The sequence below is a fragment of the Homo sapiens genome, chromosome 8 (genome assembly GCF_000001405.40).
Source record: "Homo sapiens chromosome 8, GRCh38.p14 Primary Assembly".
Lineage (NCBI taxonomy): Eukaryota > Metazoa > Chordata > Mammalia > Primates > Hominidae > Homo > Homo sapiens.
The window spans coordinates 97,979,392-97,996,056 of record NC_000008.11 but is presented as its reverse complement, the minus strand read 5'-3'; the positions used below and the strand labels follow the sequence as shown (position 1 = coordinate 97,996,056).

Here is a 16,665-nt window from a genome sequence, read left to right as displayed (position 1 = left end):
GAGTGATTTCCCCTGGGTGCAGCCAGTCCCTCACACACCCACTCCTAGCAAAAGGTGTAAATAGCACAGAGGAGTGGCCAGACCAGAAAAGTTGGCCCTCTGACCTATTGCAGGCATGTGTGGTCTTATGAAAAATAGCTTATCTAATTGTTTTCACATTCTGAATGCTCTCCATTAAAATTTTCATTTAATGCTTGAATGTGTGCAGGGTTTGTACCCTCACAAGGCAGTGAGAATAGTTTTATAAGACAGGCTCCGTTTCAAAATCCAGGATTTGCAACCATCTGCCACTATACACAGTTTAGCACTTGCTAGAATGAGTATGAAAGTTAATCTGTGCTATGAGCAGAATGTGACTCATCTGGATTCAGTTAAATAGCTCATGGTGCTTTTCAAAAAAGATATATGTGAAACCTTTCAAAACGCAGTCTTGCCAGGCAGAACACTGCTGTACACACCATCAGGAAGAAATGGGTGAAGGAACATACAGAAAATTACATCCCTCAATGGAAGCTCCAGAGAGTTCTACGAATGACATTGTCAGCAGACCCCAAACAATTCAGTGTGCATAAGTGTGGACTAACTAGGGAAAGACTTTCTGAAAAAAAATTCACAACTTGCACGCCTAAAAAAGGCTATCTTTCTAACAAGATTGAAGAATTAAAAAAAAAATAGCTTCAATTTCTCCAGGATGATACATCATAGAAAGATTCACTTACTCATTCCCATTCAGCAAACATTGTGCACATCTATGAGTGCCAAGCACTCTTTGAGCTTTTGAGAATTCAGCAGCGAGAAAAAGATAATCGTCTCTGTCCTTGTGGGCCGTCCATTCTAGCAGTCTCTCAGGAATGGTTTGTCTTAAGCAGGTGCCCTCTGGGGCCTGTGCTCAGATCCCCAATCATGCCCTTTGATGTGCTAGATGACAGGCATTTGAGGCACTCAGTACATCCACAATATCAACCCGCTGACACCCTGTACCCCTTGAATATTGCTGGGATGTCCTAGAGTCTCATTTTTCTTCTTCTTTCCTATCAAAGGGAATAAAGCTGCAATGTCCTCCCTCTTAGCATCCGTCAAGTGTCTTATCTTGTAGGAGTAGAAGAAACCAACTCCTTCTACCTCTCATCTCTGGGCCCATTCTTTTCTTTTTCCAAGACCCCAATGCTATGGGAATAAGGGGGAGGGAGACTGCACCTGCATTTCACATAGGTGGGAGCTTCAGCTTGGGTCCACTTGGCTAATTGAATCTAATGGCCAGACCTATTCAATATTTAAAAATCATCCACATAATAGGATCTAGTGAGCCAAAAAGTAAAATAAAGGGGAGAATAATGTTAATAGACACAATGCTGAATACAAGCACATCTTGCTTAAGATTTGCACGGAAAGGAAAACTAACTAGAGGAGCATTTAGCAGAACAAGCCCTTCTCCAACTCCCACTGTAACTTACTTCTGCAGGTTTTCTTATCTGGATTCAGGGTAAAGCCTTTCAGGCAGTGGCAGGAATAGGAATCATCTGTGTTAACACACTCGTGCTGACATCCGTGATTAGATGAGGCACAGTAGTCTATCTCTGGCAAGAAGGAAAAATCACAAGAATGGCAAACCAATCAATAAAGCTAGCATAGGAAAACCAGGGATTTCCAGTCTTCATTTTCCCAAACAGGTAAAATCCCACACCTCAAAGAGTCACACCATGAAGGGGTCTCCCAATAAAGCTACTTCCATGTTTAGAGATATGGCCTCTCCTAAGAGAAACTTCTTCTCCTTCTTTCCTTCTTCTCCTTCTTCCCTCCTCCTCCCTCTTTCCCTTCCTCCCCCTTCTCCTTCCTCTTTCCCTTCCCCCTCTTCCCTCTTCCCCCCTCCCTCCTCCTCTTCTTTCCCTCTTTTCTTTTCTTTCTTTCTTTCCTTCCTTCCTCTCTCTCCCTTCCTTCCTTCCTTCCTTTCCTTTCTTCCTTTCTTCTTTCTTTCTTTCTTTTTCTTTCTTTCTTTCTTTCTCTCTTCCTTTCCTTCTTCTTCTTCTATTATTATTATTATTATACCTGGACTCTTCTGCTAGGCAAAGACAAACTTCCTGACATATTACAAAACGTTTATGCAACAAACAAATTTGTGAACATGCTTTCCTTGTCTTGATTCATGTAAGAGCCACTAAAATGAAGATGGGGTATTTGCCAGACTGCAGGCTGAGAATGGTTTAGCTGAGTGTTTTATCGAATTTAAGCAATTAAAACAATTAAACGTTCCCAAAGCCAAACTCCAAACCACTTAAACCCATCAAACAATGAGCCAAACAATAAGACACAAAATCATATCCTGGGAAAAATAAGGCCTAGGAGTGAAAGGCATAAATACTCTGAGTTCAAAACACCTCCTGGTTACCTCATTGGGCTCAGCTGCACATAAATAGGATTTTTACCTCAAGATTCACAGAGAATGTGATCTCTAGGGATACATTAATTTAAACCAAAATATTTTTTTAAAAGTATTTCATGAAATTTTTCATAATGAAATTTTACTTGTGTATTTTTATTTTTTTGTTTTTGTTCTTTTTCTTTTTTTTGTATTTTTTGTATAAGTATTTTTAAATATGGAAAGAAACTTTTATTGCAGAATCTGAGCAAAATATTTTCCCATAGTGGAACTTGGACACATTGTTTAAAATTGCTTGAAATAAATGACCACTGATGGAATCTTAAAAGGAGTCTTTGTTTTGATGAGGGTTTTTATTATTTTAAGGAACATTTGAACTGCATAAATAATCTTCCTAACAAATAATTTGGTATAAATGAGAGTTCCCAGTCCATACCAGAGGAAACAAACTGAGTAAGGGAAAGATATACAATATTCTTGAAAGGAAAAAATGTTGAGTGAGATGCCAATTTTTCCCAATTTAAACTTATGGAAATGTTAAGCAAAATATACAATAATGTCCAATTTCAAAAATGGACTGAGTAGTATAATAAATCCATGTACATATCACCCAGCTTCAGGAGAATCAATCTATGGCTGCTTGGCTTTCAGCTATGTCCCCACTCTCTATAGTAAGATCCCACATTACTTTGAAGCAAACCCCAGACATTGTATTGTTGTTATTATTATTATTATTATTATTATTATTATTGTTTGTTTTGAGACAGAGTCTCGCTCCATCGCCCAGGCTGAAGCGCAATGTCGCAATCTAGGCTCACTGCAACCTCCACCTCCCAGGTTCAAGCAATTCTCCTGCTTCAGCCTCCTGAGTAGCTGGAATTACCAGTGCATGCCACCATGCCTGAGTAATTTTTTTTTTTTTTTTTTTTTTTTTGAGATGGAGTCTCACTCTAACACCCAGGCTGGAGTGCAGTGGCGCAATCTTGGCTCACTGCAACCTCTGCCGCCCAGGTTCAGGCAATCCTCCTGCCTCAGCCTCCCAAGTAGTTGGGATTACAGGCGCCTGCCACTGTGCCCAGCTAATTTTTGTATTTTTAGTGGAGATGGGGTTTCACCATCTTGGCCAGGCTGGTCTTGAACTCCTGATCTCGTGATCCACCTGCCTCAGCCTTCCAAAGTGCTGGGATTACAGGAGTGAGCCACCACACCTGGCCCAGACATTGTATTATTTTGTCCATAAATGCTTCATAATGTAGCTTTAAAACACTGGGAGTCTTTATAAACAATATAATTGTAATACCATAGTCATATATAAAGGCATTTAAAAAATCTTTTTCTTTGAAAACAATTTCAAGCTTACAAAAAGTTACAAACATAAAAATAAAACAAGAAACACTTAAATACTCTTTACCCAGATTCACCTTTGTTAACATTTTACCCCATTCCTGTGATTACTTGGTCATCTCTCTGACCTATGTGAGGGTACATTACATACATTCTGGTCCTTTCCCTTAAAAACAGTCCGTGTTTCCTAAGAGGAGGGATATTCTCTTACATAACTGCAGTATGGTTATAAATTTCATAAGTTTACATTGATACAATACTTATATTTAATCTACCATCCATATTCTAATTTTGTCAGTTGACTTAATTATGTTCTTCATAGCATTTTTCACCTTCCAGTACAGGATCTAGTCTAGGGTCAGAGATTGTATCTCGTTTTCATATCTGCTTAGTCTCCCTTAATCTAGAACCATGCTGCCTAATATGTCTATTTAAATTAAAATTGATTAAAATGAAATAACAATTAAAATTCAGCCAGGGGTGGTGGCTCATGCTTGTAATCCCAATGCTTTGTGAAGCTGAGGCTGGAGGATTGCTTGAACCCAGAAATTTGAGACCAGCCTGAGCAACATAGCAAGACCCCATTTCTGAAAAAAGAATTTTTTTTTTTTTTTGAGATAGAGTCTCGCTCTGCTGCCCAGGGTGGAGTGCAGTGGCACGATCTCAGCTCACTGCAATCTCCGCCTCCCGGGTTCAAGCAATTCTCCTGCCTCAGCCTCCCGAGTAGCTGGAACTATAGGCACACACCACCACACCCAGCTAATTTTTTGTAATTTAGTAGAGACGGGGTTTCACCGTGTTGCCCAGGCTGTTCTCGAACTCCTGAACTCAGGCAATCCACTCGCCTCGGCCTCTCAAAGTGCTAGGATTACAGGCGTGAGCCACTGTGCCCAGCAGAAAAATAATTTTTTTAAGTTAGCTGAGCATGGTGGCACCTGCCTGTAGTCCCAGCTACTAGGGAGGCTGAGGCCAGGAGATCTCATGAGCCCAGGAGTTGGTGATTGCAGTGAGCTATGAGCTATGACTGTACCACTGCAGTCCAGCCTGGGCAACAAAGCAAGAGCCTGTCTCTAACAAACAAAACAAAACGAAACAAAAATTCAGTTACTGGGTTGCACTGGCTGTATCTCAAGTGCTCAGTGGCCACGTGTGGCTCCTGACTACTGTATTGTATGATGCAAACAGAGAATTTCCATCAACCAGAGTGTCCCATAGGATAGTGATGGGCCAGAACATTTCCACAGCCTCTCTTTGTGTTTTATGACATAGAAATTTTGGAATAATACAGTCTCTTCTACTTGTTTTTAGTTTTTTTGAGGTATAATTGACAAAAACCAAACTGCACATACTCAAGAAAAACAATCTGATGCATTTTGCATATGTATCCTGCCATGAAACCATCGCCACAATCAAAATAATAAGCATATGCATTACTCTCAAAACTTTCCTCCTGTCTCTTGCTAATTCATTCTTCCCCACTCTCTCCAGTCCCAAATAACCATTTACCTTCTATCCAGATAAATCAGTTTGCATTTTCTAGAATTTTATTTTTTATCTTCTTTTTTTATCTCCCCAAGGAACTTTAAATAAATGTAATCATATAGTATGTATTCTTTTTTGTCTGGTTTCTTTCATTCAGCATAATTATTTTGAGATTCATCCAGATTCATATGTGTGTCAATAGTTTGTTCCTTTTTATTGCAGAGTAGTATTTCACTATGTGATTATACCACAATTTGTTTATCCATTCACTTGCTGAAGGGCTGGTTACCTGTTCCCAGTTTGGGGCTATCACAAATAAAGCAGCTATGAACACTAATGCACAAGTTTTTGTGTGGACATATGCTTTCATTCCTTTTGCATAATGAATGAGTCATATGGGACATGTATGCTTAACTGCTTAAACATTCCCACCAGCAATTTATGAGAGTTCCAGTTGCTCCGTATCCCCATCATCACTTGGTAATTTTAGTCATTCTAGTGGGTATGATTATCTCAATATGACTTCACTTTGTATTTACCTAATGACTAATGTTGTTGAATATATTTTCATATGCTTCTTCGCCATCTCTATATATTCTTTGGTGAAGTTTCTATTCAAATATTTTTCCCATTTTTATTGAGTGGCTTGTCTTTTTTTTTTTTTTTTTTTTTTTGACAGAGTCTTGCTCTGTCACCCAGGCTGGAATGCAGTGGTGCAATCTCAGCTCACTGAAACCTCTGCCTCCTGGGTTCAAGCAATTCCCCTGCCTCAGCTTCCCAAGTAGCTAGGATTACAGGCACCTGCCACCATGCCTGGCTAATGTTCATATTTTTAGTAGAGACAAGCTTTCACCATGTTGGCCAGGCTTGTCTCAAACTCCTGACCTCAAGTGATCCACCTGCTTTGGTCTCCCATTGTGCTGGGATTACAAGCATGAGCCACCGTGCCCAGCCTGAAAAGGTATTTTTTTAAATTTCATATTTTGATGGTCCATTGTAAGTACATAAAACTAACTTATTTTTGTATATTGATCTTGTGTCCTGCAACCTTGATAAATTCACTTGCTATTAATAGTTCTAGTAGCTTTTTAATAGATTCCATTGGATTTTCTACACAGGTGATCAGGTTATCTGTTAATAAAGATGGTGTTTTTTTTTAACAATCTAGGTACCATTTATTGATCTTTCTCTGTCTTATTGCACTGGCTAGAACTTCCAGTACAATATTAAATAGCAGTGGTGTGAGTGGACATTCTGTTTTATTCCTGATCTGATAAAGAAAGCATTGTCTTTCACTATTAAGTATGATGTTAGCTGATAGTTTTTTCACTGATGCACTTTATCAGATTGAGGCAGTTACCTTCATTCCGTTTTTTTTTTTTTTTGAGATGGAGTCTTGCTCTGTTGCCCAGGCTGGAGTGCAGTGGCACGATCTCGGCTCACTGCAAGCTCTGCCTCCCAGGTTCACGCCATTCTCCTGCCTCAGCCTCCCGAGTAGCTGGGACTACAGGTGCCTGCCACCATGCCCAGCTAATTTCTTCTATTTTTAGGAGAGACGGGGTTTCACCGTGTTAGCCAGGATGGTCTCAATCTCCTGACCTCATGATCCGCCCGCCTCGGCCTCCCAAAGTACTGGGATTACAGGCGTGAGCCACCACGCCTGGCCACCTTCATTCCTAATTTGCTGAAAGTTTATTTAAAGAAAAAATGAATGTCAGATCTTATCCAATGCCTTTTCTGCATCTATTGAGATGGCTCATATGGTTTTGACTTTTTAATATGTTAATATTATGAATTACATTGATTGAGTTTTGAATGTTAAGCCAACTTTGAATTCCTGGAATAAATCCCACTTGGTTGTGATGTATTGTACTTTTTAATATATTGTTAAATTTGATTGCTAGAAACTGTTTAAATAACTTTTGCAGGTATTTCATGAGAAATATTTGTGTATAGTTTTCTTTTTTTATGTCTTTCTTTTCTGGTTTGGGTATCAGGGTACTGATAGCCTCATAGGATGAGTTGAAAATTGTTCTTTCTTCTTCAATTTTTTGGAATAATTTGTGTAGAATTAGTATGAGTTTTTCTTCAAATTTTTGGTAGAATTCACCAGTTAAGCCAACTAGGTTTGAAGTCTTCTCTGTGGGAAGGTTTTAAAGTGCAAATTCCATTTCTTTTAATAGATAGAGATCTATTCAGACTATATTCTTTTGTTTTTGGTCGGTCTGGGGAGAGAGTCTCACTCTGTTGCCCAGGCTGGAGTGCAGTGGTGTGATCGTGGCTTACTGAAGCCTCAACCTCCTGGGCTCAAGCAACCCTCCTGCCTCAGCCTTTCGAGTAGCTGGGACTACAGGCACTTGCCACCATGCCCAGTTAATTTATTTATTTTTTGTAGAGATGGGGTCTTGCTATGTTACTCAGGCTGATCTAGAACTCCTGGACTCAAGCAATCCTCCCACCTAAGCCTCCCAAAGTTCTGGGATTACAGGTATGAGCCACCATGCCCAGCCTCTATTTATTCTTGGGTAAACTTTAGTAGTTTGTGTCTTTCAAGGAATTTGTCCATTTCATCTAAGTTGTCATAGTTATTGGCATAAACTTGTTTATGATTTTTCTGTATATATATATATATATGTATGTGTGTATACATATGTGTGTGTGTGTATATATATATATATATATTTTTTTTTTTTTTTTTTTTGGTGGAGATGGGCTCTATGTTGCCCAGGCTGGTCTTTAACTCCTTGCCTCAAGTGATCCTCCTGCTTTGGCCTCCCACAGTGTTCAGATTACAGGCATGATCCACCATGCTTGGCCTGTATTATGCTTCAAAGTTTGTAGGATATGTATTGATGTCCACTTTCTCATTCCTGATATTAGTAATTTGTGTCTTCTCTCTTTTTTCTTCCTTGACTAGTCTGGTTAGACATTTATCAATTTTATTAATCTTCTAAAAAAAACACATTTTGGTTTTTACCAATTATCTCTATTGATTTATGTCTTCTATTCCTTTTATTTTAGCTCAGATCTTTATTATTCCCTCTCTCTTGAATGTCTAATATATGAAGACATGTTAACTTCCCTGTTCATTCATTCATTCAGTAAATATTCTCTGAGCATTTACCATGGGACAGGCACTAGGATCAGTGTTGAACAAAGAGGCACAGTCCCTTGCTTCATGAAATTTGTAAGAGTCCCTTACAATCACTTATACTGGAAAATATTCATTAATCAAATAATAACACCAATAAACATACATTTATAAATTAGATATATATAATTGGATAATTTTATGAAGAACAGGTATTAAAGACATGATAAAAAAGCAAGAAGAAGAAATTTTCTCCTAGAAAATCAGCAACATTTTTAAAAATTGCTCCCTTAAGAAACACTTTTTTTTCCTTCAACTTTTATTTTAAGTTCTAGGGTGTATGTGCAGGATGTGCAGGTTTGTTAGGTAAATGTGTGCCATGTTGGTTTGCTGCACAGATCAGCGCATCACCCAGGTATTAAGCCCAGCATCCATTAGCTGTTCTTCTGGATGCTTTCCCTCTCCCCACTCCTTGCTACAGGCCCCGGTGTGTGTTGCTCCCTATCACGTGTCCATGTGTTAAGATGAAATGGACAAATTCCGTTTACACTGCTGGTGGGAATGTAAACTAGTACAACAACTATGGAAAGCAATGTAGAGATTCCTTAAAGAACTAAAAGTAGGCCAGGTGTGGTGGCTCACGCCTGTAATCCCAGCACTTTGAGAGGCCAAGGCAGGCGGATCACAAGTTCAGGAGTTCGAGACCACCCTGGCTAACACGATGAAACCCTGTCTCTACTAAAAATACAAAAAAAAAAAAAAATTAGCTGGGCGTGGTGGCGGGCACCTGTAGTCCCAGCCACTCGGGAGGCTGAGGCAGGAGAATGGCGTGAACCCTGGAGGTGGAGCTTGCAGTGAGCCGAGATCGCGCCACTGCACTCCAGCCTGGGCCACAGAGCGAGACTCCGTCTCAAAAAAAAATAACTAAAAGTAGATCTACTATTTGATCCAGCAATCCCACTACTGAGTATCTACCCAGAGGAAATTAAGTCATTATATGAAAAAGATACTTGCACACGCATGTTTATAGCAATACAATTTGCAATTGCAAAAATATGGAACCAGTCCCAATGCCTATCAATCAACAAGTGGATAAAGAAAATACAGTGTCTATATACACCATGGAATACTACTCAGCCATAAAAAGGAACAAAAGAATGGCATTTGCAGCAACCTAGATGGAGATGGAGACCATTATTCTAAGTGAAGTAACTCAGGAATGGAAAACCAAATATCCCACTTCTCACTTTTAAATGGGAGCTAAGCTATGAGGATGCAAAGGCATAAGAATGATACAATGGACTTGGGGTGGGAGGATGGTGAGGGATAAAAGACTACACATTGGGTACTATGTATCCTGCTCAGGTGATGGTTGCACCAAAAATCTCAGAATCACCACTAAAGAACTTGTCCATATAACCAAACACCACCTGCTCCCCAAAAACCTATTGAAATCATAAATAATTTAATTTAATTTAAAAATAAAAATTGCCCCCTTAAACACTGATGGTAGAGTATAAATCGGTAAAACGTTTTTAGAAAATAATTTTGAATATGTATCAAAAGACTTAAAATGTTAATTGCCTTTGACTCAATAAATTTCCTTTTTTGTTGTGTTCCTAAGAAAATGATCAGAAAAAAAGATTCAAGCATAAGAATGTTTATCACAATATTATTTGAGCAGCCAAAAAAACCTGAACACATTCTGACATATACATATAATAGAATTTTACACAGACATTAAAATGTTTTTGATAACGTTTAAGTGACATGTCAAAATGCTTATGATTTATTATTATACTGCATGATCTCAACTCTATAAAAATAAATCCATACACATACATTAAAAAAAGACTGGAGAGAAATGTTCCAAATTGGCATAAACAATGGTTATCAGCTAGGTGCAGTAGTGTGCGCCTATAATCTCAAAACTTGGGAGACCAAGGCAGAAGGACTGCTTGAGCTCAGGAGATCAAGACCAGCCTGGGCAACATGGTGAGAAACCCATCTCAAAAAGCAAAACAAACACAAAAACAGTGGTTTTTTCTGGGCGGTAGTATCACAGATCATTTTATTTCATAGAATTTCACTTCTATAGGAACCAGTTTCCCTCAATGAACCTGTATTACTTTTGTAATCAGAAAAAGTACTAAAAATAAATGTACACATTTGTACATTTGTACTTTGTGAAACTAGTTGCCATGGAAAACGGCCCAAATAATATACAAAAAAGAACAATGTGGGAAGTGTCCTGTGATTTGGAGAAGAACATAATCAGGGAACATTGCTAAAAACAATAAATATATATAGCTTCAGGTGTGCATATCTGCTACAGTTTGGATGTTTGATCCCATAAACTTCATGTTAAAATTTAATCCACAGTGTTGGAGGCGGGGCTTAATGGGAGGTTTTTGGGTCATGGTGGGGAATCCCTAATGAATAGCTTGGTGCTGTCCTCACAGTAATGAGTACGTTTGCTCTGTTAGTTCTCATGAGAGCTGGTTGTTAAAAAGAGCACCGCCTCATCCTTTCTCTCTTGCTTCCTCTCTCACCATGTGATCTCTGCACAGGTCGGCTCCACATCACCTCCCGCTGTGAGTGGAAGCAGCCTTAGGCTTTCACTAGATGCCCAGTCTTCCCGCCAGCAGAATCATGAGCCAAATAAACCTTATTTTCTTTATAAATTACCCAGTCTCAGGTGTTCCTTTATAGCAACACAAATGGACTAAAACATATCCATTTTGTACTGGTGCTGTGTGATAGTATCACAGATCATTTTATTTCATAGAATTTCATTTCTACCTCTGCCTCAAAGGTTTCCTCCTTCTCTCACTGCCTTCAAATCTTTAATCAAAGACTAGTATTACTTTGCTGTTGAGACCTGTAGTATTCTCTTATCCTGCTCCAATAGAATGTAGGCTCCATAAGGACAGATATTGGTGGGGTTTCTTTTTGGTCTGTTTAATTTATTACTGCATGCCCAGTGTCTACAATCATATCTGACACATAGTAGATACTCAACAAATATTTGTGGAATGAATAAAAGGTTATTGGTATTACTCTTACTGGAGTGTGTTTTTGAGAGTTTAGATACATACACATTGCACACCATGAAGAAACACGGGGGACCCTATGAATGGAAGATAGCTCTCATCCCTCCATAAGGCTTCTTCCCAGCAAGCTGTTTAAAAACCTCCTTCTAGGAGGATCTCAGTTCAACAATTAGCATCCTGTGGTTACAGACATTCGGCCAGTTACAAACCAACCAATCATTCATTGAGCACAAATTCCTCCACACACAAATTGGTCAAATGCCTATTAAAATTTAGATGGTCACTACTACATTTTCCATGCCTGGCTAGTCTACTAAGTGAAATAAAGTTACTCTGATATGACTCACTCTTAGTGGCCACAAAGAACGCAAGTAGCCAAATTTGTTTTGTTCATTTCTAAGAGCAAGGAAATAGATATCAGCTCAGTCTAGGGAATCACTTTCTAAGAGTCAGAGCTATACAAAGTGGAATGAACTACCATGGGGTATAGTGAATATCCTGTCAGTGGGGGTATTCAAATGCAGGTTGGATGATGGCACAGTGAGAATATTGTAGGATGGATAGTTGGGCAAGAACTAGGTTGAACTTTAAAGCCTCTTCCAGCTGAAAGTGTTTGATTTATCCACATAGGGAGTCACAAAAGTGGCATATTACAGGCTGTAGGAAGGTAGTGGCACTCAGTATGTTAACTATGCTCTGGCCAAGAAACCTGACAACCGATACTTTGTAGTTCTTCTATTGCTGATTCAGTATAAAATTATTTCCGGAATGGTGGCTCATCCTGTAATCTCAGCACTTTGGGAGGCCAAGCTGGGAGAATCACTTGAGGTCAGGAGGTCTAGTCCAACCTGAGCAACATAGCAGACCCCATCTCTACTTTAAAAAGTTTACTTCCTTCTGTGTTTTGTTTCTAGTGCAAACACAAAAATATTCATTCAGTGCCTTACTCTGTGCAAAGCATTCTTATTTGAAAAATAAGGATGGAAATGTCAACCAAGTTATTACTGGAGACTGAAAAACAATGAGTATAATGACCTCCAAGCACGAAAATAATAAATGGCAACATGCAAAAGATGGTGTCCGCAATTGCCTTTATTCATCCTTACAGGCATTAGATGATTAAGCATTAGACTCAAAGCCCACAGTCTCCTTGCTACCAAAGACATGAATCCCTGTCCAGCAGACTGAAGTCCTCTATAGATCTTTCTGGTGAAAAGACCCTGGATATCTGAGAGTGTTCTTTCTCATGCTTGGCTCAAGAATAAGGGTTTCAATCTAGATCTCAAAAAGTCTTGCTACCATAGGACCAGCAATTCCACTTCTGGGTATAAAAACCCAGAAGAACTGAAAGCAAGGACTTGAACACTCATCTTTATAGTAGCTTTATTCACAATAGGCAAAAGGTGGAAGGAGCCCAAACGTCCATCAACAGATGGATAAACAAAATGGGATATATACATATAATTGAATATTATGCAGTCTTAAAAAGGAAGGAAATTCTGATATATACTACAACACAGATAAACCTTGAGGACATTATGCTAAGTGAAATATGTTAGACGGCAAAGGACAAATACCATATAATCCCACTTACATGAAGTGCCGAGAGTGGTGAAATTCACAGACAGAAAGTAGAATGGTGGTTGACAGGGCAGGCAATGGGGAGTTATTGTTCAATGGGTACAGCGTTTCAGTTTGGGGTGATGAAAAGTTCTGGAGATGGATGGTGAGGATAGTTACAGCTGGGTGGAAATCAGGTGACCCCAGCCAGGGGGTGTGGTCTGGAGAGGCAGGAAGGAGACAGGCTAGGATATGCGTTTTTCACAATGTGAGTGTATTTAATGCCACTGAATGAGTACAGTGGTAAATTTTCTATTATGTATGTTTTATAACAATACCAGAAAAAGAAAAGTCTTGCTAACTTTTTGCAAACTGATGGTACCTGTGTGTTTCCACCTTTCTCCCGTCTAGATTTGGATGGGCTGCTCTAGGGTAAGAAATTGATATAAAGGTGGTGCTTTTTTGAACACCACTTACATATTTCAAATTATAGTACTGGTTCATGAACATAAAGCCCTATTATGTACATTTTTGCTTAATCATAAATTAACCATGCTTGGTTTATTACATTGACTAGTCTACCTTTTTGAGATAATAGTTGCACACTTACTAATTGTATTCGCTTTCAAATATACTTTTGGTTAAAAATATAGGCTGAAATTTGAGAAACTGAGTTTCTTTCATTTTTTGCAAGTGTATAAGAAGTAGAATTTTAAAAAAAAATCTTTCAACATCACAGCAGTAACCAGGCCGACTTGGCTGGAAGCTGGTGGGAGGCCTTGGTACTCACTAAAACAGGGTGGCTGCTTCGGTTCTGAGCTTCTGCCTCTATCCTGTTTCTGTAATTTTAACTAGTCTCTATTTCTCAGTTCTTGTCCCTGCCACAGATCTGGAGCACTCCTGAGTGTTTCATTCTTACGACTGGGCTTTTGCCTTATTTTCTACTCTTAGCTTTCCAAGTACTCTGTCTCCTTTCTTCCTCTTGTCTCCCTCCTCCTGGGTCTGGCTCCTGCCCACCCCAAGCATGGTGGGAAGAGGGCTCTTCTAAGGGATGTACTGCCCTGAGGCTGCCTGCACGAACCCTCCAGTCTCCCAGCACTCTTCCCTGCACACGCATTGGGGCGGCCCACTTCTGGATCTTGATTCTGACAACTGCACTGCTGGGCTCGCTGCCTAGCTGGTGAGACCTCACAGCTGGATCAGCCCCTCCCGTGGCTCCTAGCCAAACCTCCTCTCCCAGTCCCACTATGCTGCGGTATCTACTTCCAGGGTCTGATTCCAGGGCTCCAACACCCTCCTTGCCTGCACCACCCTGGGCTGGGGATCTGGGACAGGAGGCATGCTGAGCCACAGGGTGGGGAAGATGGTGCCACTCTGGGAACTAGGGCTGGTGCTGGGGTGGAAATCAGGTGACCCCAGCCAGTGTGTGCAGTCTGGAGAGGCAGGTAGGAGACTGGCTAGGATATGTGTTTTTCTCCAGTCCTCATCCCTGCAAGGCAGCATCTCACCTGTTCTGGTCTAACTGGTCTCCTTCCTCTAACTCCTGCTGTGGTCCTGGCTGCATCACACTGTAGGCCCTTGGTCACATAACTCCTGGCACCATGACTCAGCTACTCAGTGTGGCTATGGCTAAGGTCCCTCACCAGCTTGCAGTGGAAATCTTGAATGTTTTTTGCACCTTTAAATGTAGCCCAGGCACGTGGTATATGCACAGTTAAATACTCATTTTTTTAGAGTTTTGGAGGCCAGGTGTGGTGGCTCATGATGACCATAATTCCAGCACTTTGGGAGGCTGAGGTGGGAGGATTGCTTGAGCCCAGGAGTTGGAAGCTGCAATGAGCTAGGATTGCACCACTGCATTCCAGCATGGGTGACAGAGTAAGATCCTATTTCTAAAAAAACATAATGATAATAAATAAAGTCTTTGAAACCCACATCATCCCTTTTTAGCCTTTTTTTTTTTTTAAGACAAGGTCTTACTGTGTCCTCCAGGCTGGAGTGCAGTGGTGCCATCATGGCTCACTACAGCCCCAACCTCCCAGGCCCAACTAGTGATCTTCCCACCTGAGCCTCCCAAGTAGCTGGGAGTACAGACACTTGTCACCATACCTGGCTAATTAAAAAAAAAACAGTTTTTGTAGAAATAGGGTCCCTCCATATTACCAGGGCTGGTCTCAAACTCCTGGGCTCAAGTAATCCTCCTGCTTCTCTTCCCAAAGTGCTGGGATTACAGGCGTGAGCCACTGTGCCCAGCCTCATTTAGTATTCAAGATTATGCTATGGCCGGGTGCTGTGGCTCATGCCTGTATTCCCAGCACTTTGGGAGGCTGAGGTGGGTGGATCACTTGAGGTCAGGGATTCGACACCAGCCTGGCTAATATGGTGAAACACCACTGCTATCAAAAAATACCAAAAAAATTAGCTGGGTGTGTTGGTGCGAGCCTGTAGTCTCAGCCACTTGGGAGGCTGAGGTGGGGGAATCGCTTGAACCCAGGAGGTGGAGGTTGCAGTGAGCCGAGATCACATCACTGCTCTCCAGCCTGGGTGACAGAGTAAGACCCAGTGTCAAAAAAAAAAAAAAAAAAAAAAAAGGAAAGAATAATGCTATGCAGTAGGCAGCATTATCATCCTGTACTGTAACTGAGGAAACTGAGGCATAAGTAACTTGCCCAAGATCACCAAGAGAAAAAGCAGAGAAGCTGGGATTAGAACCAAGGCCCGCTGCTGGCAGCCCACGGCCTCCTCTTTGATGAGGAACACTGACTCATCAGCCCAACAACCACAACTCCCCAACCACGACGACAGCACAGGCTGCTATTTTACAGTTCAGAATATTCAGAAGGGAAGGGAGACCACAAACACAGCAGCCCACTCATTCATTTACTTACTCTTTCAATAAACAAAACAAATAAACCACTGTATATGCCAGTCATGCACGGGGCATGGAGACTACAGTTCTCTGCTTGGTTCACATCTTCAACTTCTTTCCTTCTCCTGGAACCCCCACCTCACCCTTTTCTGCCTAGTGAATGACAGCTCCACCTCCAAGACTCAGCCACAGTTATCTTCTCCCTTAAGGACCTTGCCGTACTCATTTCTATTGGCACATGGTTGGGGCTCCAGAAATGTATGCTTTTGACCTAATGTGTCCCTTATAGTTCCATACATCACCCAAACCTCCAGCTCTGGTGTTTGTAAGCTGCTGATATTTAGGTATTGAAGAGTAGGAAGTAAGTTTATGTTGAAAAAGGTTTTGTGCAGATGTATCCTGTTTTACATAGTGAATACATTTTAGAAAGGTTGTAGGTACATGAACTTTTTATGAATTAAAATCCTGTTTTCTCACTGATGCATGTCTCTGAGGTGCCTTACCCTATTCTAGATTGTTATTAAAGTCCACTTTTTATAAATGCTTGGCCCTAATACTTAACAAGCAAGCTTTTCTCAAGTGATCCTCCCTATAGAAGGATAATAATCCATACACAATCCCTTAAGTCTCCTGATGTACCTTTATATTTAATAGAACACTTTTGGAATCTTTTTGTAACTAGTTATTATCTTTTTTGCAAAACTAATGATCATCTTTAGTTTATCGAATTTTATGTTCAAATTTTGGGAGCTGAAATTAATTCTGATTTTTATGTATACAGTTAAAATCCAATTGAACTAAATAGCTCAAACAAAACATGAGCAGTTCTTTGCAAACTGCGGTCCACCAGAAGAAATCACTTATGATTCTTTTTGGCTCAGCGATTTTC

The 16,665-nt window shown here is 40.3% G+C and overlaps 1 protein-coding gene across 4 annotated transcripts in view, besides 1 other annotated feature; it reads right to left on the bottom strand.

Moving 5' to 3' along the window:
* MATN2 (matrilin 2) overlaps window positions 1-16,665 on the bottom strand; it is a 167,661-nt gene that overhangs the window by 40,668 nt on the left and 110,328 nt on the right. For 3 of the 4 annotated variants that reach the window (NM_002380.5, NM_030583.4, XM_005250920.3), the window contains exon 7: window positions 1,455-1,577. The exons of the other annotated variant lie outside the window; for it this stretch is intronic. In NM_002380.5, coding sequence (NP_002371.3) covers window positions 1,455-1,577 — 123 coding nt within the window. The remainder of the gene's footprint in view (window positions 1-1,454; window positions 1,578-16,665) is intronic. 4 annotated transcript variants of the gene reach the window in all.
* Window positions 15,866-15,915: an enhancer, noted in NCBI's record as "active region_27670". NCBI's record gives its function as "activates an Ori minimal core promoter by ATAC-STARR-seq in GM12878 lymphoblastoid cells {active_cell/tissue: GM12878}" and the evidence as "EXISTENCE:reporter gene assay evidence [ECO:0000049][PMID:35858748]".